The sequence below is a fragment of the Homo sapiens genome, chromosome 5 (genome assembly GCF_000001405.40).
Source record: "Homo sapiens chromosome 5, GRCh38.p14 Primary Assembly".
Taxonomy (NCBI): Eukaryota; Metazoa; Chordata; class Mammalia; order Primates; family Hominidae; genus Homo; species Homo sapiens.
In genome coordinates, this window is record NC_000005.10 from 3,176,573 (window position 1) to 3,202,683 (window position 26,111).

General features: G+C 44.0%; 1 long non-coding RNA gene across 1 annotated transcript, besides 6 other annotated features; it reads left to right on the forward strand.

The window, feature by feature from the left end:
• Nucleotides 231–1,430: an enhancer, noted in NCBI's record as "BRD4-independent group 4 enhancer chr5:3176917-3178116 (GRCh37/hg19 assembly coordinates)". NCBI's record gives its function as "activates an origin of replication core promoter dependent on BRD2, P300/CBP, MED14 and CDK7 cofactors, and independent of BRD4, by STARR-seq in HCT116 cells {active_cell/tissue: HCT116}" and the evidence as "EXISTENCE:reporter gene assay evidence [ECO:0000049][PMID:35650434]".
• LINC01377 (long intergenic non-protein coding RNA 1377) lies at nt 1,263–4,660 on the forward strand. The gene is made up of 2 exons (NR_104617.1): nt 1,263–1,607; nt 4,357–4,660. It is a non-coding gene; the product is annotated as a long intergenic non-protein coding RNA 1377 (long non-coding RNA).
• Nucleotides 5,532–6,585: an enhancer, noted in NCBI's record as "VISTA enhancer hs603". NCBI's record gives its function as "enhancer in: hindbrain (rhombencephalon)[5/10]" and the evidence as "EXISTENCE:transgenic organism evidence [ECO:0001131][PMID:17130149]".
• Nucleotides 8,621–9,136: an enhancer, noted in NCBI's record as "H3K4me1 hESC enhancer chr5:3185307-3185822 (GRCh37/hg19 assembly coordinates)". NCBI's record gives its function as "activates a minimal SCP1, AML or CMV promoter by ChIP-STARR-seq in naive H9 embryonic stem cells {active_cell/tissue: H9 hESC(naive)}" and the evidence as "EXISTENCE:reporter gene assay evidence [ECO:0000049][PMID:30033119]".
• Nucleotides 9,753–11,240: an enhancer, noted in NCBI's record as "VISTA enhancer hs533". NCBI's record gives its function as "enhancer in: neural tube[9/9] | midbrain (mesencephalon)[9/9]" and the evidence as "EXISTENCE:transgenic organism evidence [ECO:0001131][PMID:17130149]".
• Nucleotides 14,512–14,677: a silencer, noted in NCBI's record as "fragment chr5:3191198-3191363 (GRCh37/hg19 assembly coordinates)". NCBI's record gives its function as "represses an EF-1alpha promoter that drives an FKBP-Casp9 reporter gene in an ReSE screen in phorbol 12-myristate 13-acetate-treated (for megakaryocytic differentiation) K562 erythroleukemia cells {active_cell/tissue: K562(+PMA)}" and the evidence as "EXISTENCE:reporter gene assay evidence [ECO:0000049][PMID:32094911]".
• Nucleotides 21,179–22,256: an enhancer, noted in NCBI's record as "VISTA enhancer hs754". NCBI's record gives its function as "enhancer in: hindbrain (rhombencephalon)[6/10] | forebrain[5/10]" and the evidence as "EXISTENCE:transgenic organism evidence [ECO:0001131][PMID:17130149]".

The following is a 26,111-nucleotide window of genomic DNA, read 5'->3' on the forward strand; positions in this document are numbered from 1 at the left end:
GAAAGATAAATGACCTGCAATGTTCTTTGTATTAATTTGAAAATAAATGGAAGCTTCAAGAGGAATACAATTGATTTTTTTCTGTTCCATTTTATTGGCGGCAACTTTTCTAAACTCAAAATTGGTAGACATTTAAAAATCTGTTTCATGCTTTTAAAATACGGTTTTATTTTAAAAAACTAAAAATTCTTAAGAAATTAAACTCAAAACTCACCGGCACTTGTAATTGCTTAACGCTGGGGTCATGGCCATTAGGGGCAGCCCTGTGAAGGGCCAGACATGAATTCTGCATGCAAATCATACTATTGGGGAAGGAAAACGCGTGATCGATATTCAATCCAAACAAGGGACAAGAAAGTCACCAAGCAGTCTTGCTGGGGCCAGCATGTGAACTACACTGGAACTGCAGTGAGGGTAAAAAAGAGGAAGGGGATGCTTACAGGTTCAGGAAACTGCGGGGAAAAGCGAGAACTAGAACCAGGAGAAGCCCGGGGGCTCAGCTCGTCCACAGCATGATTCATGCAAAGGACACAGGAAGGTGGGGAGGGTTGGGGTGGGGACCATCACTAAGGCTGAGGCCTGTGTCTCAAGAGGAAAGGGAAGGTCTCTGAGCCATGGGGTTGGTGACCAGGGTTCCACTGGAGGAATTTGAATGCCGTGTTGTGAAGAGGCAAGAGGGATCTCACATGAGCGCCCACCATTTGTTAAATATGTGCTCTGCATAATGCCTGATTCCCCCAGAAACCCTGAGCAATAAGTCTTACTTTCTTCATCTCCAAGGTGGTGAAACGGTGAAGCAAAGCAGCCTTAATCCAGGCAAGACCAAAACTCAAAGGTGTCTGGCTTAAACCTCGGGGCTGTCTCGCCACCCCATGCGCCTCCCCAGAGACTGGGCATGATTTGGTTCTGTTGGTTACCGTGAAGGTGGAAGAACCTAAGAGAGACAGGGCAGGGAAAGCGGGTAGGTTAGGACCCTAGCAGGGAGGGACGGGAGATAGAGCGGGATCCTATGGTCGCGCAGTTCCTCCTGGCAATGTACCCGGAGATGGGAAACAGCTGTCAGGTCCCAGAGCCATGCCCCTGTGGGTGAGAGGCTTAGAAGTCCCAGAAGGCAAGTGCCAGCTGTGGCTTCCACACGTGCTAGTGACACGTGCGCCTCCGTTTCCTCTTCTAGCACATAGGCATCACCACGTTTCCCTCACAGCTTCGCACGTGAGATCACAATCGACAATGCAGTGAAGCGCCCGCAATGGACTGCAGATATTAAGCAGTGAAGACAGTGAGTTACTCAGCTGATTTGTTCCGTGGAGAGTCAGGCTACCTGGTCATCCTACTCAATATCCAGGCCTGCCCGAACCTCAAGACTGGGTGGGCACCGTTCAGAGGCCCCCAGCCCCTGCCCTTCTCCTGCGAGGGCCGAGCTCACCGTCAGGTCCCTGGGGCTTGGAACTAAGTAGCCACTTCATAAACACATGGATTTTGGGGTGCCCCGGCCCCCATAAAGAGATCAAATTATGTCTCCTGCATTCTGCTGTAATGAAATGAATCATAAAATATGTTTTAGAAGAAAATTACTATAAAAAGTTTCAAAATTGTTATTTAAAAAGGTAAGTTATAGACACCTGTAAGATAATTTCTGGTAGAAAAGTTGATTGCCTGCTGACCCTGAGTATGGGGAACAGCCAATATTCAGCACTCCTCACTCCTTATTCAGCCTCCAGCAACTTTGTGTGGTGCTATTACTGTTTGCATGGACAGTTGGCAGGCTCAGGAAAGTGAAATACCTGCCCGGGTCATGGGGGCAGTACCTGGGTGGAAGCTTTTCTATTAATTGAAACACTTAACACCTTTTTGTTAGCGAAATGAGACGTACATAGGTAAAGCCATATTAATTGACAGAGTTGGTAGATTAGAAGTCTGCTCAGTGAAGTCCTGAATTATCCAAAACCATGTCAAACACATAGCCTAGTTTTGTCTGATTAACACAAATTCCTTCTTCATAAAGAGTCACCAATAGATCTCATTTTGCCAATTATCTAAAGACTGTGGTTCTTTGAATAAGCCAACTCTCAATTCCAGAGTGTTTGTTTTATAGGAGTCTTCAGTTTTCATTCCAAGTCACAAAGAACCACTTGTTCTTCACATGAAAATAAATATGTAGAGAGAGAGAGAGCAAGAAAGAGAGAGAGAGAAGGAATAATTATGTACAAAGGATAAATCAGCTAAACAAAAGTGATTTGGAACTTAAAAAGCAAAAAGGGGAAGAGAGAATGGAGGCATTTCTGTGCACAGGAGGAAGGAAAGAAGTAGTTTAAGGAAAGGTGTGATGTTTTTCAGCTATCTTCTGTCTAAAATTAAAAACTACAAGACTGTGCCTATTTTTACCTTTATTTTTCTCTTGAAATGTTTAAACTTTCACCATGGGTGAATCACAAACCCCTCAACCGAGGCCTAGTGTCCTGATGGTGAAGCCTCCTGGGTAACCAACAAAATGCTTTTCCAAAGCAGGTGCTACCGGAGGACTCTTCTGTCGGGACAGCCCTGGCCTGGGTCTGCCCTGCTTGCTCAGCACCTTAGGGGTTAAGAATAAGCCTCATCTATGTCTTGCTTTGTGGACCTGCTTTAGGCACGTGGAACTGGTTTGATTCTTAGCTGGAGGAAGCAAAACACAGAAAATAAGTCAGGGACAGATGTCCTTAGAGCCAGTGACAATTTAGGTTCCCAGTCAGGAGTGGGAACTTCTACAAAGCACAAAGGTTTCTAGGGCAAGAAGCCACCCAACAGTTGAACCAAATCAGCCCCTGGCTGACACAGCACTCCACCAGGAGGCGGTCCCGACCCAGGCTGAGTTCCAACACTTTCCCCTTGTGAGGGCCAGAAGGACCTTCCTGCTTTCCTCCCTAACCTGCAGGAGACTTGTAAGGCGTCCCCATTCACAGCTTCTGTTGGAATCTGCAGGCCTGCAACTTCCATTACAGACTCCGGGTAATGTTGATGGGGTTTCCCGAGTAATCCTGTGAGATTTGTTTAATAACTATGCTGTTTCAAAACAGAGAAGGGATGGGTGTTCTGATTTAATTAGAAACTCCTATAATCAGTGCCTTTCCCTCCAACCGCAGAGTGTGTGATGCTCCTCCACCGGTGGCTAGGAAGACTTTCTTACATTTGCTGGCAAGCCACTGTGTCCGACACATTGGGGGGTGTCAGCTTTTAATTGTAACTGTCTTGCAGAGCGGTGTTGTTTTAATATCCTGTATAGATTTTTATGTAATACACTTACTTGCAGGCAGCCCGAAGCAAGAATCAATTCTGTGAAGGGCTCTTCTTTTGTTAAAAGCCAGTCTTGTTTTAATGATGCATGAAGAAATATTCGAGCATTGACATTTTTCTGTCAGGTTTCTTTTGAAAAATCAATTAAGATAATACTGCTTTGACCTAGTTATCTAGTTAATGCTTATTAGGAATGTAATATGATTTACTGTCAGCATAATAATTTTTGTATCTTATCCCATTAGCTTGTGCATATTTCAAAGTGTATTACACAATGGTCACTTCTTAAAATGTAATGTAGCAGAATGCATTAATTAGATTGACTAGGATCATTAGACAGAAACTGTCTCATTGGCTCCTTGTATCAAATTTGTATACAATCTTTACCAAGATAATGCATTATTTACATGCCTAGAAACCTGCTTCTTGACCAGAGAGTGGACTTAGCCACTTTCTGCATGCCCAACTATTCTTTTACCAATTACAAATTACTTGATTCTTTTGCTTAAAACTGATTAATTTGGGATTTGTCATTATGCCTGAAATGTAAGCAAAATAAGTCTCCAACAAATTAAGAATTGTCCTCCCAGATTCAGTCCTTAGCAACTTTCCATGCTGCGAACATTCAGATAGTATAAGGTGTGCTGGGAAATCACATAAATATGCAAAATTGAGCATTATTTCAAAAGGGTCCTCGCCTTTCTTTGTTGCCTTTGTGTTAACAACTGTCGATGGCACTGTCAAGAAGGGAGCAATGGCCAAGACCCTTCCAGGGAAATTATTGATTTCTGCCCGTTCGGGATTCTGAAGTAACCAGCGGCACTGCAAGCTTAACCTTGTTAACGTGGAACCCAAGTGAAATCTCTCACCGCTTCCAGCGTGAGGCGGGACCAGCAGTGCAAGTTCGGCTCTCTCAGTTAGGACTCACCCTTGTCCTGGGCATCTGCCGGAATGTGACAGGCGGCCAAGCCACGTGCTGTGCCTCTGAGACGATGCCGGTGAACTAAGGAGTGACACACCTTTGCAAGTCAGGGCTTTCGGCAGCCTCCCCCAGCTGATCATCATGTATTTCTGTTTCTCTGATAGGACCCCGCCAACACGCATATTGACCCAAGGAATCTTCGGGATGGACTCTGCTTCTGATCACATCTTCACCTGCTCGAGGATCACCTGTGGCACGTCGGGCTCTGAATGCAAGCCCCAGGACACCCCATTTCATGCGTCTGCATTCTTAACCTCACTGCGCATTAACATGCATCTCAATGCATCCAAAATACCGCACCCCCATCACATCAGAGAGCATTAAAAATAAGCCAGCTCAATGCACAAAAATGAGGGCGACAATCGGAAACACAATGATGTTTCTAAAGAATGTCCAACCTTAACTGCAGCTTTTCAGTTTCCAAATTCTCTCTTCTTTATCTCGTCATTTCCCTGAATCACTGGGGCCCAACAACACCATTCTCAGTCAGATGTCTGCCTGAGACACATCATTTCAAATTCACCGGTAAAATGTTTGCAGTTACCAGAAGTGACCTTGTTTTACACACCAACGTGATGAATTTATGTGGGTGGCTTAGTGGAGCTGTTCATTTCCAGCTTGGTAATATTTTAATTAATTAAAAGGGAAAAATCAATGAACAAAGATTCTGTTTCCTATGATATTTTATATTTTCTACTTTTATTCAAAATTAAGGGTTTTAACATTTTTTTCGGTTAGTCACAATTTTTGTCTCCCTCCCTCTCCCTGGTTCTCTCTCTTTCTCTCTATTCCCCCACCCTGCCCCACCTCTGATTCTCTCTCTCCATCTTAAAATGTATATCTCCAGGGGCATTTAGGGTGCAAAAGGTTGCCAATTGTTCTTAGTGCAGAGAGCATCTGAATCCTGTAGTGTGTTGATTTGAATAAAGCAAGGAACGCTCTTCCTACCGTGATGGCCTCTTGCAGGGCTGAACGGGAAAGGGACGCGGCACAGTCTGGCAGTGCGTGGGAGCAAACGAAACCTGCACAAAGGGAGGCGGAAGAAAACAGGGAGGGATCTGAACACACACTCAATAGGGATCCATTGTGGAGGAAGCCAAGCTAAGGGAGAGGTGCTGCGATGCTCTCAGGCGTGTGCACATTTGCATACGGGCTCGCAGACCCTGACGCGGCGTCGGGCTTGTCACTTTTAAGCACCCAATTAATTGACTTGACGGTGCGGTGAGCTTCCTCCTTTCAGAGAGATACTACTGCGGACTGCGGTTTTAATTATATGAAATATTAACCGCGGATTGAAATTGGAAACCTGAAGTTATTGTTTAATGATCATTGATCAGATGCATAGTCCAAATAAAGAAAATGAGGGTGGTGGACGTGGGCATTTGGATTTGGGTTTTACGTTATTATCTCGTTCCTAACTAGGCACTTTTCCTGCGTATCTGAACTCTTTTGCCTTTTAACTGTGCCTGCAGTTGCTATAGTGATGGCATAATTTTGTAATGGTCTAAAAATGACACTGGCATAGATACTGACAGATAGGAATTAATTCACTAACAAGTAATTATGTAGCGAAATGTTGACTGCCATGCAGAACGTGCACAGTGACACATTTTCTGTTTTTCAGGGATGGCAGTAACATTAGCGTTGGTCATTAGCGGTAGACATCTCAGTACAGTGTTGGATACAGACTTATATGCAGACCTATTTAGTTACCTGTGTGACAGGCTTGTTCAGGACACCAGAAACAGCTGTCCCAGCCTGTATGAGCCAAAATAATTAGGCCTGTCATCTTCTCGCTCTGATTTCCCCTTCAACCTGCTCCACAAAATGCAAATATTTGGCTTTCATTGTCACATTCACCTTGACATGGATATTGCTTTGGTGCATAACTGGATGAGATGACTCAGAATTTGCATTGTTCATTCTAATAAATTTGCTTCCCCTCCATTGCATGGCAGGACCCATCAGATAAAGTCTCCCGGAGTGTCATCAATCACCAGCCTTGACAGACGGCTTTTGCCTTCATTTGTTACATACGAGAACATGCTTAATTATTTGTCCTGTAATTAGTTGGGAAAATGTCAGGAAATGTCAACTCTCTGTTCGCTGTGGAAGGACTCGGCTTGAAAGCCGGGATGACTGAAGTGTCATTAATGCCACCTAACTAGACGAGGATCAGCTGGGGAGAAGGGAGAGCTTCTAAAAAAGTAATCACGGTGAGTTAGGGGAAACGGAAAATCAGCCCCCATAACAAGATGTGAGTCCTATTAGCAAACAGTTGTGTTTTTTATCTGCTAGTCTTCACAATAAAATGTGGGAGAGCAAACTGAAGAACAAATATGTTGGATTGATATAATTTCTGTCACATTCTCCTTGTCATCTCATAAGCCAATCATGCTTAATGTATTACTATAGGGGGCACCTAATATTTAATTTGCAGATTTAAAGCTCATCTTACCATTCGATCGCACAGTGCAAAATTCAGTGAATATGCAAAGGTGAACAGTTTTGCATTCATCTAATGATGTGATGAATTGAATATGTAAAATTAAAATTGTCATTCTGCTGTTAGAACCCTTTACTAATAAAAGCAAATTGCTGTTAATCATTACTTGGCAAAAGAAGACAAAAACAAAAAAATATGTATATGTAAAAAGATGCACTGAGGATGAAAAACAGGCAGGTCGACTTCAGGCATAGAGTAAGTTCGCTTCCATAGATGTCTTGCCCATGTCGGTAATGCTAAGAAGAGCTCGTTGTTAATTTCAGCAATGGGCTGGAAGACCTTCAGTGTATTTCCTAGCTAACTAAGAGCGAAACAAACTCATTGGGAAGAAGAACAATTTTATCACATGACAGACAACTTCACTGTGAAATGGATTCACCTGGGTTTTTAATTGTTGTGCCACCAGTGCTCCGATATCCAAGTGGCGTGTGCACGGTTGCATTTTGTGAACGATGCTCCTTCATCGTTGTGTTCTGGATGCCGCATTTGTTCATAAAATGCCCTTCGCAAATTCTGCATCACAGGTATCGGCTACTTTCTGTAATGTTGTCACAATAATGTGTTCACATGAGATCTTTCTTTGCTTAATTACTTCTACCATTTTGTGGCTCAAGAACAAGGAAATTATTGTTAGGTCTCTTAACAAAGAGTAATTAGGGGTGACATTCTGTAGTTTAACAATTCACAACTTGTCACAGGTGTAGCTGAGCTGATTATCAGATAAATAAAATAAAGTAAACCGTTTATTCTATGAGGAGTATTGCAGTGGTTCCATGAACAAAAACTACGTTTGAGGCCGAGGCCGTCCCAACTCACAGCACCTTCAGAATACATGAAAATTTCGATTTGCCTGCGGGCCTTGGAAACTGAGTTTACGTTGTCCCTCCTGGTAGATCAGACTTCAGGAAATCAGTTATTTTATCTTTCAAAATGTGCTAAGTGAATGAAGCGAGTCGTTGGAAGCTGGATGACGCAGACATTTAATGACCATTCATTCTTAATATTCAGATTTTTGAGAAAGATAAAACTGTATCCACAATTATTTTGACAGCACAGTCTTTCAAAGCTTATTCTGATTTAATCTTTGTCCCTAAAATACATCCACGTAACATACTATTATTAGTTTTCCTAAGGGGGTGAAGTCCTTCATGTCCACAGCGTGGTAACACTTACACTGTCTTTCCCTTTAAGAACGATCTCTGCTGGGTTTTGAAAGACTCAAGCATCAGAGCGGATGTTGAAACTTCCAGCAATTAGCCACACAGAAGAACAACATTTTCTTTCCATCATCCTGGGATTGTCTTTAGGTTCTATAGAGGTTGAATCATCTTTAACGAATGCCAAGGGGATAGTTAAAAAAACCTTTTTATCCTGCATCAGCCTCCCGAGTAGCTGAGACTACAGGTGCATGGCACCACACCCAGCTAATTTTTGTATTTTTAGTAGAATGGGGTTTCACCATGTTGGCCAGGACAGTCTCAATCTCTTGACCTCATGATCCACCTGCCTCTGCCTCCCAAAGTGCTGGGATTACAGGCATGAGCCACCGCTTGTACCTGGGAGGCAGAGGTTACCGTGAACCAAGATCACACCACTGCACTCCAGCCTGGTGACAGAGCAAGACTTCATCTCAAACAAAAACAAACAAAAAACAAACCTTTCTGTCAATTATGTCTTTCAGTGTTATAGTCTTGTAGAGTGGAAATGGGGCAAGCATTAGAGACATTCTAAAAACCCTCCTTTTAGATAATGGTTGGAGTGGAATGGAAGGGAGCCCCTCCTCATAAATCACCACGAAGAGGTGAGGAATTAAGATGTGATTTCTCACTGCCCACATTTCCCCTGGTCCGTTCAACTTGCCAGAATAAATGGAGATGGTTCTCTCTGTAGACGGCATGCAAAGGCGAGAGCATCCCACCGACCTGTGCAGTTTGCAAACTTGCTTCAACTTCCAGGAGGTTTAAATACGCTTAGCCTCAGCTCATGATACATGATAAGCCACTAATAACAAGGCGAGGGGGAGCAAGTCCCCCGATTACTCCGGCCATGATTCTAACGCAGCCTGGGCAACTCCTCATTAGTAAGCTTCTGTTCTGATTCACACCTTGATGGAGGTTGTATATAAAAGCAGAGCCCTCCTAGGAAATCTTAATAATAGCTACAAATTAAAAAAAAAAAAAAAAAGACGAATTCTTATTTAATAGAAAGCTCCGAGGATAAATGTATTCTAATACTCCAAGGAATACTGGGCTCACCCTCCTTCTCCGTGCAGCTTGGGGGTAAGTACACACAGTTCCTGCCACGGTTCCCCGAACGGGCCAGGGGGACCAGGCAGAGAGTGAAGGAATGCGGCTGTCTTCTGTGCTCTGCCAGGGGGTGGCCTCTGCCCGTGACTGCCCAGCACCAAGCCTGTCGATGCTGGGGTGCAGGCTGTCCCCCCACAAGGGTGCTGGGGGAAGAAACAGGGAGTGGGGAGTCGAGAGGCCACCCAGAAACCCTTTGCTTGGTCTCCCTCGGCGGCTGCCTGTTATTCAGAAGCAGCTGTTTCAGGCAGTTCCAAGAAGACAAATGTCTTTTCAGGGGATTTTGATAAAATAAATCAAAATCATTTGGATAAGGCACATCTTATTAGTGACAAACACTCATGGGTGACTTTGTTTCATGTTTTACTAAATGAAATGTAGAGATTCAGGTTATCACAGGCAAAGTTTAAAAATAGGACTTCCAGCCCTATGCATTTACCTATATATATGTATATAAATTTGTTTTATACCCTCCTCTAAAATGAGTTTCTATGGGGTGGTGGAAGGATAAATTGTTTCTTTTTTTTTAGGGGGGGGTGGTGTGGCCTTTCCTTTTTCTGGAGAAAAAGGAAGGGCCAGAAAATTGGTCAAGACCATTTGCTGCTTCAGAGGTGGAAAGAAACAGATTCTTTCTCTTGAGTAAAGGTATTTTGAATGCACACGAAGCAAGATTCCTGCGGGGCCGTGCCTGTAGCATGGTTAGGTTGGGAGAAATAAGCCCGGCGCCTCCCTGTCTCCAGGTTTGCAGGTTCCAGGGACACGGTGCATATTTCATGAAATGATTAATGCCAGAAAGGAGCTCACATTTTTACATTAACATATTTAAGCATACATAATAAATTGGGAATTCTTACAAATAGATAAGACGAGTTTAATGGCATTATGGACAAATAACAATACAATAAGCTTGAAACAATACATTTAAGAGGAATAAAAACAAAGATGTAAGGTCAGACAATATCTCACATAACATTTGGAAAAGGCTGCCAATTGTTTGGATAACGGTACAATGGCAAAGCCTCTTAGAACGTTGTTAAGTCTTTATTCAGTAATACATTATCATGCATATTTCATAGCAGGGATTACTAAGACAGAATTGTGTGTCATTTTTGTTGTATGTCTTTATAATTACACCTTGAAGCCACAACTAGATTTTTTTTTAAACTACATATTCATGAAAAGCGGACTTGTAATTTGATAAAGGGGAGCTTGTGTTCCCGTCTCCATTCAAACGGCATCATGAAGCAGAATTAAAGTAGGCATCTGTGTTCTCCGGCATTAATCTCCTCAAGCACATTCCAGCTGCTATGATGTGCAGGAGGGAGATAAGTCCTGAACGGACTGAAGCTGAGCGGGCCAGACAACTCTATTATTGGCTTCATAATTGCTTAATTAAACTTTTGTCACTAATCATTATGAGGGCAATAGAGCTGTTATACTGGCTTCTGTTAAGCAAAAATCAATAAACTGTTGGAGTTAATTTCGCCGTATTTTTTGTCCTGCAAATGAAATTCATTGCTGCCGGTTAGTGATCTGTGTGGCTGGCGACCGACTGATATGAACAGCCATCACCATTTGAATTGAGGGTATTCAGTAGCACATGAATATGAACAAATGGCAAACATAAATCTCTTGCATGAAGTACACCTTCTATCCCTTTATTATGGAACAATTGACCCATCTAAAATGAATTCTAATGCCAGGAAAGCGTTTAGATTTAAATTACACCATGGTCTTCTGGATCTGAAAGATGGTGGCATAAAAAAGATTAATATGCTAATTATTTTTCTCCTTATTTTTTTCCTTCGACATCCATGGTAGGGTATTGTGAAGCGTGTAAATAAGATGACTGTTTTGTCAAGAAATGGCTCTGAGGCACACTATATTCCATTGCAATTTAATTTGTTTATTCAAAACCTCACTCCAGATTTTAACTGTGTTTGCAGTAACACTTTATTTTTCACATAATGTTTTCCTTTCACAAAGAATTCCTGGAATAAGTAAAGCATGTTTTTGTTTATTGAAATAGATTTAATGGTATTATGAATGATGATATACTTAACCAAGGCTGTATTTATAAATTCCTGTCAAACTTATATTTTCTTCCCCTCTTCTCAGGCTTCTAGGATTGATCATGGGTGTTGCTGTCTCTCTCTGTCTTTTGTACTGGGCAGGAAAATGGAGGAGGTGTGCAGGACGTTTTGTTCTTTATGCTTTATCCATCCGGCAACTTACTCCAGAGCCTCCAATGGCACCTCCTGACATTCTTCATATGAAAAATTAAAAAACGAAACAAATAAAAGCTCAGGCTCTCCGGGCGCATCAGCCTGATGTGCAGTTAGCACTGAAAGCCGCGTCTGTCTGGGCGTCGCAGGAGCGGTCTAAAGTGTTTACTCTGCTTCTTCTCAGAAATGGCTTTGATAGCGCCAATAACCGCTACAACCGGAAGCGAAATGAAAGGGGGGGGGACTTTTTTGAAATGATGTTTCGGTGCCGCCATGCACTTTTCATGCGTCCTGGCAGGTTCACACTGTGCTCCCAGGCTGCAGCTGGCTCACTGCGGCCGGAGCCTGCCAGGCGGGTTCCCGCGGGCGCAGCCGAGGGTGCAGCTAGGCTCCGGGTCGCCCGTGCTGCCCCCAGGGTGGTGGAAAGGCCCTGGACATTCTTCTGAAACTAGAAAGTCAAGTCCGATTGTAGAAAGAAAATGTTTATTCTATGAAGATAAAGAGAAGAGAAAAACTCCATTCTGAATGCTTTATTGCTCTGTGCCCAAAAATAAAGGAAAATTAAAAAAATAAAAAATTAAGAACCAGATAAAAATCCTATACTTTTATTTCTGTAAGTGTAGGCAGTTCTCTACATCATCATGGCATAGATTTATTCCTAATGAGTTGGCTTTTCTTTCTGTTTTTTGTTTGTTTGTTTGTTTTTGTTTTTTTGTTTGTTTGTTTTTTGAGACAGAGTTTCCTTCTTGTTGCCCAGGCTGGAATGCAATGGTGCGATCTCAGCTCACTGCAACCTCTGCCTCCCGGGTTCAAGCGACTCTCGTGCTTCAGTCTCCCTAGTAGCTGGGATTACAGGCACCCGCCACCATGTGCGGCTAATTTTTAAATATTTTTAGTGGAGACGGGGTTTCACCATATTGGCCAGCCTGAACTGACCTCAGGTGATCTGCCTGCCTTGGCCTCCCAAAGTGTTGGGATTACAGGCGTGAGCCACTGCGCCCTGACTACTTGGATTTCTTTGTGAAAAAGGATACTGAAGGTTTGGGTTCATTTGGAGGCAGCAGGGGCAACTTACTGCACACTGATGGAAGGGGAAGAATGCCTGTCCAGGGGGCTGGCACATAGCAGGTGTTCAGTTAATGCTGTGTAAGGATGGAGGGATAAATATGCATCCACGCACCTTGCATTTCAGGAAGGGTATAGAGTGACGAGACCCTCCAGATCCCAAATCCTTGCTACTGTTTCCTTTTTTGGGTCTAATGATAAACCCTGGCTTTTCAGGATGGGAGTGACTAGGATGGTGGCACTAAGAAACCAGGTGAGGAGGAGAAGCCCACGCTGCCCCTTTCCAAACTAATAGACATGCATTTCCATCTCAATTTGGTCTGAGCTTATGTATTTGCCAGAATAATTTTAAATTATTCTCTTTCTCAGCCCCCAGCCCTGACAATCAATGTTTTATGTGGGGAGAGAAACACTGCACCTTCTAGGAGCATGATTTGTGTCATTGTTGAAATTATTATTATATCCATACAGTCTCAAAAAGGGAGGGACAGGTTGCTGATAAATCCTCTTCTAATAAAAAAAGTCTGACATCATAAAAGTGGCTCCTACAGGATGCATATTCTTAAGTCCCAAAACAACTTCCCACAAATAAAAGAACAGCATCGTAGGAAATGCTATTTAAAATCACATGTAGATTAAAACAGGCACAGCCATGCATATTGGGATTTTAATTTTCATTATTGCATTCATTATATGATTTAAATGAGATTACAGCATAACACACACTGTATCTTGTGATTAAATAACAATATTTAAGCCCCCTGTAAATCTTATAGGTTATTCCTTTCTAAAATTGCAACTTACTCATTTCGACATGCATTATGTATTGAGTTTCAAAGCTACATAAAGCTTGTATAAATATGTGATTTTCCTCCAAGAACACCTAGAAGTAAAAGGGATTAGAAACCTTTTGGCTGGATTGAAAATGATGTAGGTGGTGAGGCTGAGTAAAGCCACTGGGACGGCCAAATTAAGCAAGCTGGTCCTCTGGAATTTTCCTGACAGACTTGCTACATAGGTCAGGTCCCAGAGGAGATTTTTACAGAGATCTCAAAAGTACCTTGCATTTCTACTTGAGAAACAGTAATCCCTCCCTCTGCAGCCGACTGAGAACTGATCTCGAACCTTAGGTGCACTGTATACTCCCTTTGAATAAAAAATAATGTGAATTTTTATTTTTATAAAGTTTAATATTTGAAAACATTTAATGGTACCCTGGTCCAGGCACTTGCTCACTTCCTTTATTAAATGTGCTTTTTGTTCCCTGGATGCAGTGCAGCCCTGGACAGATGAAGTTGATCTCACAATGTTTTTATGAGTATACTGAAATTCAGTCATGATGTTAGCACTGGAGAGAAGGGCACTGGTAGGTTGTGTATGTCATCCCCATTTGTTATGTATAAGTGAGTTTCCAAGATAATCATTTGACCCATTTCATGTACAGATACGTTCAGAGTTGACTAGGTTACAGTGAACCGTGGCTGGTGGTCAACGTTTACTGAGGGTTTATAGTGTTCTTAGGAATGTAAAATATGAATCCTTCATGTCCAACAGCCTATTTTTCCTTCTAGAGTCAAAGTAGAAAGAAAGAGAGAGGGAAGAAGAGAGGGAGCGATATCAACAGAGAAATAAACTTAAATATAAGAAAGAAAATTAAATGTAAAGGTAGTAAGTATATTAAAATGCATTTAAATATAATAAAATAAATAAATTTGTTCAGATCATTTTGGTGACTATTATAATTTGGTTTTAAAATGTTTTAATATTTAATTTAATTTTGTGTTGTTTTGTAAGCATCATGCTTCTATGACTTAATACCTGAAGGAACATTTCAGAGTCAAATTTAAAACAAACAAACAAAAACAAACCCTCAATGCAATTGGAGATAATGAAGGGAAAATATAATTCTGAGAAGGGAATTGCCCAGCTAGATAATTCTACTCACCAGCTCAGTGACCATCCCTAGGGCCCTAGGCCTTCCCTAGGCCAGCCCCCATCTCCCTGGTTCCTTGTACAACTTCTCAACAGGCCCTGGGCACAGAGGGCAATTTCCTGCAGCCCCAGCCGGTCCCTGATGACACCACACTCTTTCTTCCTCAGTTCTTCCTCCTGCCCACAGGACCCTCAGCCTGAGTCCAGCCATGTCTCAACTCCAGCCGCTCCACGGCATCACGTGGGCCGTGCGGCCCAGGCCGAGCCCTCCCTGCTCTCACTCCCCTGTTTCTGGCACAGAGCCACACTTTGAAAAGTAGGACTCATCTTGTCATTTTCTTCTGGTAGAGAAGGCATGAACTAGTCTTCGTAGAAAGCAAAAAACAATGACAGACCAAAAGAAGAAGCTTAAAATCACCCATAACACCCAGCTCGGAAATAACCAGTGCTGGCATTTGCACGTACAGCTTGCTGGGACCCAGGCACAGGGGCCTGGTGTGTGTTTGTTCAAATAGTCTAATTTCTTGCGGAAGAAGAGGCATAACTTGTCTATACTTGTGTCCCACCTAAAACCTCGCACGGTAGGATGAAGTCAAGAAAGCGCATTTTGCCGTTAAAATCTGCACACTGAATGTTGCGAAGCCTTCATAAACTCACTTTCTGAATATGTTTTTCATCACTTAAAATGGGGAAAACCCTGGTCTTGGGCAGCATTGTCCCCTGGCACAGCAGTCTTAGTGTTTATCGTTTGTTCTCAGATATTTGTTAATTAAATGAATTGTTTAAAAGCACGCTTACTGTTTTCTTTTTTTCCCCGTGCACTGTGACTTCTTAATTTTCTGAATAATAAAATGTGCGGTGCTTCTGTGGATGCGACGGCAAGGTACCGGCTGGATGGGTGCTGCGGGGGCTGCGTCCGCCTCCACTGGGTGGGCTGGCCCCGGCTCTGCGTCCAGGCTCTTGCTGCCGGGCTGACCTTGCACACGTACCTGATAAGGAGAAACAACATTTCAGAGTCAAAGATTTCACTTCCTCAACTATTCATCACAAGCAAAACACCCCAAACGTTTTCATAGAGGTTGCTATGCCTGAACACAATTGTTTAGGAAATTAAACTTACCTGAATTTTCTAACCAGGTCTTTGACTCCCATCACTAATTGTTTCCTCAGGAACTGGGCTAAGGCAAGAAAGTGCATTTTGCCATTGAAATCTGCACACTGAATATTGCTAAGCACTCATAAGGTCAATTCTTGAATATGTTTTCATAATTTTAAATGGGGAATGCTCTGGTCTTTAGCAAAATTGCACCTTAGACACACAGCAATCTTACATGCCCCCTCCTGATGACACTGGCATGACACTTGGCCAATGCAATTCACCATAGAAATTATTGACATAGTAATTTGGAAATGAGAGAGAAGAACTTTCCTTTTTCTTGCCAATGTCTTCTCTTCCTCACACAGTGAGGATACAGAGCAGTTAATTTTATCATTATTCTATGTATTGATGAGATATTAGAAACAAATTTAAAAGTAATCGAATATGGACTTTTTAGTTTTTTCAACCCAGGAGCAAACTTGGAGAGAGATTGTAAATGTGAGTGTAAAACGGGGAAAATGTTCCTGGACAGCTCCTGGGAGGCTCTAGGCAAATAGCTGCATTCCTAAAATCATCGTGCATTTTCTGTTCATAAAAAAAAAAAAAAATCAGCCACACACTGAGCTTCATTTTCTCTCTCCAGACCATCTTCACTGTGGTGCAGCCTTCCTTGTCCACCTGCAAAAACGTTTGCAGTAAAATGAAAAACATTCTCCACTCTTCTTTGAATGTAAACTGTTAGATAGTGTTGTTTTCCTTTAATCACATACAAAATTTACGTAGCCTTAACAAGGAAGAAAATGGCTTTAAAGTAGGTTTGGTTTAATAACATAATTATGAGGACTATATTCCTTCTAACTTCAAAGTGGGGACATGTGAGGTGTGATTTTGTTCCACTTCAAGCACGACACATTTTACTCCAAAGCATCTCTATTTCCTGAGACCCAAAGCCAGAGCAGGAACTGAGCTTTTCCAGAAAATCACGATGAATTTACAAGGTGTTTTTGGGAACTCTGGGTTAGAGCTTTTCTTTAGTGAAAGCCAGATTATTAATAGACTGAACACGGTTCCAGCGAAAGGCAATATTCTCTTGGAAGAGAAGTAGATTTGGGCTGTAACCAGTGATGGTCTGTGGGTCACTCTGGATTTTCTTCAGAATATGGGGGGCTGTGAGGAGACCACTCCCCAAATGTCCAGCAACCTCTTTCGCTCCCATTTCCAGAGACAGGCAGCATGGGAGCTTTGTAAACAAATTCCATGGCCTTTTCAGGAAGCCCTTTCTGGCGGCCCATTGATACCACTGTTTATTCACGAAAACTCCTGAAGCGTGGCAAGCATGAAAACATGGTATTAAATGTGGAAACTTTAATTTTCATCTCATTAAGAGTGCATGAATTGAATACTAATTATAAAAAGTGAAGTAAAATAAAAAATGCCTGCTTGAGGGAGTCCAATTAAACTAACTTTGCCTTGACTGCATTCATAAAAATAGCAGGTACTCAATACAAATAATTCAATAACTAACCTGTATTAGTTACTGGCTTAAAGAACATTAAGAGGCTGGGCGTGGTGGCTCACGCCTGTAATCTCAGCACTTTGGGAGGCCGAGGCGGGTGGATCGTTTGAGGTAAGGAGTTCGAGACCAGCCTGGCCAACATGGTGAAACCCCCATCTCTACTAAAAATAGAAGAATTAGCATGGTGTGGTGGTGGGTGCCTGTAATCCCAGCTACTCAGGAGGCTGAGGCAGGAGAATCCTTTGAACTCAGGAGGCAGGGTTGCTGTGAGCCAAGATCATGCCACTGCACTCCAGCCTGGGTGACAGAGTGAGACTCCACCTCAAAAAAGAAAGAAGGAAAAAGAAAAAGTAACATTATGAAAAATCTGAGATGGCTCCTACGAGAGAGGCGTCATCATAATACCTCATATATGAGACTTTATTGCCATACCTGTTTTAGTAATACCTTTGCCAGTTTTTAAATCTTGCATTCTCAACTCCCTGGTTCTGAAAACAGACCTACTTTCTTTAAAACATGTAATGGGTTGTTTGCCATGACTTTCAAAGTCAAGGCATGTGACAGGTACCCTAAGTGGCTGTGTCCTCCTGGCCAAAAATCACAGCCCAGGGTCCAGACATCTCTGTGTAGAGGGAGGGATGGTTGCCGAGGCCCCTAGGGGAATCTCTGCTGTCCCTGGAGTGGGATCTTCCTGCTCAAGCTTTTAGGAGCTGTCAGAGGTCACAGCAGGGGCTCAGCCCCTGGTCCTGTGGCAGCGCTGGGGGCCCCTGCGCACCCAGCTCCTCAGCCACAGCCATGGCCTCACACAGTGCCCTCTGCCGAGCGAGCCACAGCTTCTCCCACCTCTCCCTGCTCTGGGAGGCAGGTTTCCTTCCCCTCTGTTGCCAATATCTTGTCATGCTTAAAGAGCAAACAAAACATCAAAAGCTTACATATAATGTTAGTGAACAGTACTCTCAAGTACAGGAACCTCTGTTTATTATTGTAAGAAAACTGAGCTAATTTCTTTAAAGCAAGGCAGACAGGCGTCGCCACCCTGCTCCGGATGCCCAGTGTGGTTTTGTGTGACCTGCTGGGGCTTGTTGTTTGGAAATCGGAGCGTTGCATTTTAGCCACATTGATGTCTTTGTAAAGGTGATACATGTGGTCTGTCTGTCAGACAAATACCCCAACAAGTACAGGTATTTATCAAATTACCTTTAAACGCGCAGGTTGGAGGGGCCTTTTCAGCCAAACGTGGGAAGGCGAGCTCAGCTCATTCACACAGAAATCACTTAATGATAGTTAATATCGCCCTGTAATCTCTGCAGCTCCCACTTAATTGCAACGTTTTGAAGTCTGTCTGCACCCCCAGAGGACGGCGGATCCTTCCCTCTTAAGACAATTCAGGTGGTCCTGGCGCTCACGCCCAGGCGGAAAGGTCAGTGAGAGCAGTGACCTGCAGCAGCAGCAGCCAGGCTCCTCCGCCTGGATTTTCTTTTCTACTTTGGAGAGGCCGCTCCCATGCAGCCCCTGCAGAAGGTGCCTGGGGAAGCGCAGGGAATGGGCGTGGGCTGCTTTGAAAAGGAAAGGCCAATATTGTGTGTGTGTGAATGTGTGTGTGTGTATGTGTGTGTTTCACAACCAAATCCTCAGATTTTGAAAAGCCACACATTTTAGCAAATGACCTTGTTTGGAAATACAAACTAAATAGTCTAAAAATATTTAGTGACCTTCACTGTGTGGAGGGAAAATTGGAAAGTGGGATGTCATCCGTAGCATGGAGAGGATTTTATAAATGTTTTAACTGTAAAAGTTCCTCTCAAATAACTTCTTTCCCCAATAGTGCCTGATCTTTCCTCAGTTCCTGATGAAGTAGGATTCAAGTTAATGTTCTCCAGTATCTTCCTCTCTCCCGCCTAATTCACACTGGCTTTACCCTCGGAGCTATATGAATAAACAATTAAATAAAAACTGATGATTTAAACATTTTTTATTATGTCTTCTTTCTTTTGATTACATAGAAACAGACTCAATAATCATTGCTCATCTTTTCCAGCCAAATTAATAAAACCATCAACAAATTAAGAGACTCAACATTACCACTTTTGCTTGCTCTAAAGTTCACAGATCTACTTGATATTTGTGTGTAATAATTGATTTTTCAGTGTAATCGAAAAGACACTGAAGTGTGCTCCATGCATATCTGTTAGGAATATCAAAGTGCTAACGAAAAGCTGGCAGCAATTTGACCTGTAAAGCCTTTGAATACTGTGGCCCAGAAAAGTTGCAAGTAAAATTCCAGCCACAAACGTAAAAGACTGGTAGACTAGGATTGTGATAGAATCCTTCATGTGTTGAATATTTTATTTGCTTTTTGAAGCAAGATAGTATGTACTTTTTAAAAGTGTGAACATGTTTTCCTCAGCAGACATACGGCTTAAGGGTTCCATTGGATTGGGAATTATCTTAATTAAAATTATTCATATGAGCTGCCACAAATTTCCAATTCTTTGCCTTTTTTTTTTTTTTCTGCATCATGGGTGAAGCATTTCTGTTTCCTTCTTCAGCTGGAGTTAGCTGGCCATCATGCATGTAAAGCTGCATTTATTCCCCACTGCTCTCATCAGGAGCTTGCCTTGGGCCACGGAGGGCCCACCTTTTGCTCTCCTGAGTTCGGGAGTGGGCGGCAGAGGACAGGAGGGACTGGGCTGGTTGGATTCCAGCTCTTGAGCACCGTGGCTCAAGACTGCCTCTTCTGGAGGGTCTCCCAAGCACCCTCCTTGCCAGGAAAGCCAGCTCAAGACTGATGGTATCTCTAAATGTACATCTTCATCTGCAGCTCCTCCACCTTCTATTATAAAACTGGCACCCGAAGTGGGTTATGCTGCCAGAAAGGTTCACCGTTGCTTCAGGTAGACACAGGGCGACCTTGCGATCCCCTCCAAGGATGAGTACACTAATTGATTAAATAACCCCATGTCTACTGCCCATAGAGCAGGGGCTGCGGTGGAACAATGGCTATATATGGGAGGCCTCCCTGAAGCGGATTTGGGCATTAATTACACCCATGCTATGGGCTGATTTTTGTCTTATTTCCTTTTGTCTTGGAGATGACTGCCTGGACTTCAAAGGATGCTTTAAATTTGAATCTCTTCTCCATGGCAAAAGCCAGTGTTAAAAGACTGGGATTACAATAAAAGTTCTGTAGTTAAATGCCTGAGCTCATCATTGCACAAACTTCACAACAGTTAATGACATACATAAACCTATCATAGTTTTCAAGACAGAATGGTTTTAGAGTTTGGCATGGGAAATTCACACCCATTTATTTAAAGACCAGAAAGCATGCTTTTGATTTTCTTACCATAAAAGGCTTAAGAGACGTAGGCTTCCTAGGTTCTAACAAATATGTTGTCTCTGAATACATAGTAAATATCCCCAAAGCTAATCAAGACTGAGGCTGGTGGTGACCACTGAACAGTGTATGTATTTATTAGCCTTGTGTTCAAATCCACTTTGGATCCACACATTCACCCTGAATCAGATGGAAGCATTTTATTAATTTCTAAACAAAAATTTTAAGGGTGAGTGGTTTTACCCTGTCTGGCCACTACGCAGACAAATAGATGAAATCTAAGCATGAAGAGGTGTTGTGGTTTGTGCATTAGCATAACTTGTCCTGGCAGACACACCCTCTGCGATCCTGTCGCCTAGTACTGAGTGAAGGGGTCTTCATCCTAACAGACGGATGCCCGGTTAGCATCCTTGGGCTCTCTAAGAGTCCATTTCTGTGTATATTTGCATCTTTTTCTGGTGAAAATCCTTTTTCGAAGCTTCCCCGACTGTTTTCCCTTCTTCCCTGACACCCAGGCTCACACATTGTTTTCTGACAACCCCTTTGCTAATTTTGCTAACAGGTTCCTGCCTCTTGTAAAACATTACATCACAGCATTCCTGTGCAATTATTCTATACATGAATTAGCACTTACTTTGCCTGAGTGAATGGCGTTTGGAACTTTTTGTTTTGTTTTGCTGTGCTGTGTGCCTGAGTGTGAGTGTGTCTACAGGGCGTGTGTCCCTTTGTGTGGGGTACGTGCACACACATATATAGAAGCAAGGCGATGCCCCCGATGATCTCAATGGCTTTGTTGCACATCCGTTATCGTGGCTGCTTGATTTCCGTAGAAATCAATCTAAAGAACCCGCGGTCCTGTGGCGTGATTTCCTGGGACTGACTTCCTGGAGAGGCTACTGCGGGATGTGAGGGGCTGGCAGGAGCGGCCCTCCCTGGCCTTGGCCATTGTCTTTCCGGAGAGGCATTCTGCCCCCGCTCCCGTCACTTGCGATGAGTCCCCTTTCCCAGAGCGGCGCACTCTCCAGGCCAGCAGCACAAAAGATTGCTTTGCTCAATCTTGAGCTTGGGTGCGCCCGGCACGAGCTCCGTGACGACCATTCTCAGCTGCTCCTCGTCCCCAGTAATTAGCCTGTCACGGCTGCTGCCTCTTGTGGCTTTGCCTGTGAGAGACATTTGACACAGCAGACATCAGAGGGATTTTTCAGGAGGCTCTTGTGGCGTCCGAATGGCTCTTAATTAACCACTTAGGTATCCGCCTTCACTCCCCTGCCTGGCACTTTCCAAATGGTAGGGGTTGCACTGTGGATCTAAACACCGGGGAAGCATGCTATCAAAAGATCTTGTAAATGAAGGCTTGTGTAAATTATTTTTAATGATTCCCTCCTGGCACATCATTATGTTTGTAGTTGCACACAGGCACTTCAGAGATGGCTCCTCTTCCGCGAGGTCAGCTGCAGGACCGCCGTAACTAGCTGCAGTCAGTAAATGGCTTATTAATTAGCACCGTGATTTTACATTGCTAAGAGCTCTGATGTATGGAGCTGGAATTGTAATTGTGTAGGATCGAAATAATAAGCCATCTCAGGGCTCCTTATGCAAATTGGCATATTATAAAATCATTACCTATCTAAACACTGAGTTTTAATAAGAATTACCATGATGAATTTTATGATAATTGACACTCAAATTTTAATCTCTTGGATTTTTATCATTTTGGTGGTTAAAGTGTGTTTCTAATTAAATGTTGCTTAAAATGCAAAGGATTGTTTAACAATTCTATTCCGTTCTTCTACTTCAAATCAGGTTATTCTCTTTGGTCATAGAAAATACGCCTTCTTAGTAATAGATACGTGACATTATGTAACACATGTACAGAAAGATGTTTAATCGTCACTTTTTTTATGAGTATGGTTTTGATGACGATGTATTGTCAACTGTGAGACAAAGAACATTAAATGGTGCTGGGCTTGACTCCATAGTAAGGGTGATACACCATGAAGAAGCAAAGCCAAGGAATATTGTTACATCTTTATAAGAGCTCATGGGTTTGGGGTGGGGATTGACTTTTTAAATAATTATGGCTTCAGTAACAAATATTTTATCTTCTCAAACCCATGAAATGCAATTTAATTTAAATGTATTGATTTTAAAATCACTTGCCAATATTATGATTTATGTATGGCATCTAGTAATAAATGATATCATAGTTGTTTCAAAAGCAAACTCTAATAAGCAAAGGAAGAAAAGTAAAGTTTTCTTTTTATTTGGTCTAGAACAAATAACTGTGAGAGATATCATCAGAAGACATAAGCTACACCTCACTGAAATAGTCAGAAGGTTAATATAATCACTACCCCCATGATCTAAATAGAATTATCGTGCTTTTTTGAGAACTGACGCGATTTGTGCATGAAAGAAGTTTTTTCTATTTGTTGTGATGTTGCGTTTATCTCTAAGAACATGGGAAACCTGGCATGTAAATAATATGAGATTGAGAAAACTAAAAAACAACAAAACACACACACGCAACTGGATTTCAAAAACAAAATAAAGCAGTTTTTAGAAAATCAATGTTATAGCTTTTTGAGAGGAACAGGTGCACCTGTGGATCTTGATGATTTTATGAACATGTTACAGATTAAATAAAGGAATTTAACATGGGATGCATTCCAGGTAAGCCTCGGTGGGACTCCAAGGGTCTGTGTCCGAAACGTGAAGGACGAGTTCTGCCTCCCAACGGCCTGGAAGCCAAACTGGGTGAGGGCTACAGAACCTTAGGATGCTGGAGCTGGGAAGCCTGGGGAGTCCCCTTGTGCCACTGTTCTCTTTACGAGTCACCTGCTCATCCACAGGAGAACTGGGAATGGGAAGCTGTCTGCCAGAACCCGACATGGCAGCGCCCATGTTTAGGATGCTTCCTCCCTTTCCCTCTCCTTCTTTGTCCTCCAGGAAGTGACCAGGAGGACTCATGATCTCACCCATGTCCCCTTCCCCATACCTAACTCTGTTTGGGGTGCTGTCCATCCTCAGAAAGGCCCCACACTCCAAACCTCTTCCAACGTCCTGAGTGCACTGCCCCAACACCTGATCCACTCACTGGGGAGTCTCTGGGGGCTGCAGGGTCTCCTGCGCAGCTAATGCATCTGTGCTTGAGCTTGCATGAAGACGTTTCACGTGCAAAGAAACAGAAAAACAGCAGCCTGGCCACCCCATTCTATCAATGCCCTGAGCCTTGTTCCACCTGCCTGTGCACATCTCAGGAACAGTCACCTGGGACGCCTGTGTTTTGGCACGTGGTTTTCCCAACTCCTCCGTCAAGCAAAACTGCAGTGTGTGTAGGAAACCCCCGGAGGCAGCTGCATACCTCTCTCGATGCCTCTGACTTCTTTCTGCAGCCCAGATTTACTGCTGCTTCCTTCTCAATGGATTCCGCCTCCTTCTCTTTGCAACCAGCCTGCACCTCCAGATGCTGCTGCCCCGTGTCCCGGTCACACCCTCCTGCTGCTGACAGGCTCCCCATGATTGCCTCTGCACCCTCAGCCTGGAAACTGAACCCCCTTTGTCGGTGTTTTGACCTTCAACCTTGCCATGCACTGTTTCAGTTGCCAGGGAGACAGCTGTGACCCAAACCACATGCCCCGGTTCTCCTGGGTCTCCCATTTTGGAGGTTTGTGTCTAATAAATCACTGCAGGAGGGAGCCAGGTGCCTCCCCTGAGAGCTTTCCCTCAAAGCTTCCGGAGCCTTACAGAGGCCGAGCTTCCTGCTCTGGCCCTGCCCAGGACACAGTGAGACTGGGTGTGGAGACAGAAGCCACCAGATGTAGGTATCTCCTCCCCTGCTCCCTTCTGTCTTCAGCAGGTGGATATGCCGGCTCTGGGCTGCTGCTGAACCTGTGGCTGGCTCTGAGGGATGATGCCTTTCCTGAGCTGCTCTTCTAAAAAACAGTCCAGATTATCTGCGAGACATCTAGGGTAGGACCAAGTTTTGGCCAAGCAGAGAGCTGATGCGAGGGCGCTGCGTCCTAAGAGGTGTGGGCTCAATTCCTCCCTCTTCTGGTTTCCCCCCAGGCAGCCAAATCAGAGCCCTACTAATTTTGGAACTTGGCCCCATATTGGGAAAACACACAGTCCATTGGTATGTGCTCAGAGGAAGAAACAAAATGCTTGGCTGTCGTTTCAGCCGATCAGAAGCTTCCCAGCTTAGGTGCAGGAGGGCTGGAGGGGCCACGTATGTGCAGCTTCTTCTGGAGGCCTTCAGGCCCGTCACCCCCATCTCTCACCTCCACCATCAGCACGATGGTGCCTTCTTGTCCTCACCCCTGCATCCAAGCATCCACCATGGCAGTGGGGCATTTGAGCCCGACACCCCATCTCTATTAGTTTCTTGTACGGCTATAACAAGGTGCCACAAACCAGGCAGCTTAAACAACAGGAATTTATTCTCACAGTCCTGGAGGGCTGGAGTCTGAAATCCAGGTGTCACAGGGCCACGCTCCCTCCAAGGCCTCCAGGGGAGGAGCCCTCCTGACTCTCTGGCTTCTGGCAGTGGCCAGTGACCCCGGCGCTCTGGGACGTGCAGGTTCATCCCTCCCCTCTCCGCCTGGCATCTCAGCCTGTGCCCAAATCTCCCTCTTCTTACAAGGATACCATTCATTGGTTCAGGGCCCACCCTACTCCGGGATGATCTCATCTAAGTGTAGCTAGTTGTATCTGCAAAGGTCTTCTTTCCATTTGTACATTTTTTAACTTTTATTATTTTTAACTGGCACATAGTAATTGTACACATTTATGCGATGCATTGTGACATTGCTCTACATGTATACAACATGTAATGATCAACCAGGGTAATTAACATAGCCATTACCTCAAACGGGACATTTCTTTGTATTGGGAACATTCCCATTTCAATTCAATCTCTTCCAGCTGATTGAAAATATACAGTAAGTTGCAAATTACAGTCACCCTACAGTACTATACAGCACTAGAACTGTGTCTCCTGTTGAGTTGGGCTTGTGCATCCGTTAACTACTCTCTGGCTTGTGGAGGCCACGTGCCGAGGTTTTGAGTGGACAAACATTTTGGGAGACACCATTCAATGGTGACACCACCCCAGCCAAGGAAGGAGGAAAAGGGTAAGGGGTGCTCCTGCCTGCTCTCTTCCTCCTTATCCTTTTATGCAGAACACAGGCCTTTGCAGAAGTCCATCCTGTCTCCATAGGCACAAGCCTAATTTCTTTATTGGCTAAAGTGGGTCCACTGCATGAGGTGGTTTTGTGCAGTGTCTCCCCAGACCCCCAGTAAGGACGGCGCTGGAAGGTTGGATGGCGAGCAGGATGACAGCTGTGGTGCCTTCACCTCACACCCTCCGGTCCGGAAGCCTCTGCCCCTGTGTGGAGCTAGAGCAATGAGGTCCTCTCAGAGAGCCCTGCACCTGCAGCCTGTCACCTCTTCCTCCACCTTCTCCAGCAATGAGGTCCTCTCGGAGAGCCCTGCACCTGCAGCCTGTCACCTCTTCCTCCACCTTCTCCAGCAATGAGGTCCTCTCGGAGAGCCCTGCACCTGCAGCCTGTCACCTCTTCCTCCACCTTCTCCAGCAATGAGGTCCTCTCGGAGAGCCCTGCACCTGCAGCCTGTCACCTCTTCCTCCACCTTCTGCAGCAATGAGGTCCTCTCGGAGAGCCCTGCACCTGCAGCCTGTCACCTCTTCCTCCACCTTCTCCAGCAATGAGGTCCTCTCGGAGAGCCCTGCACCTGCAGCCTGTCACCACTTCCTCCACCTTCTCCAGCAATGAGGTCCTCTCGGAGAGCCCTGCACCCTGCAGCCTGTCACCTCTTCCTCCACCTTCTCCACCAGTGCCTCCACCTAACCTCTGGAG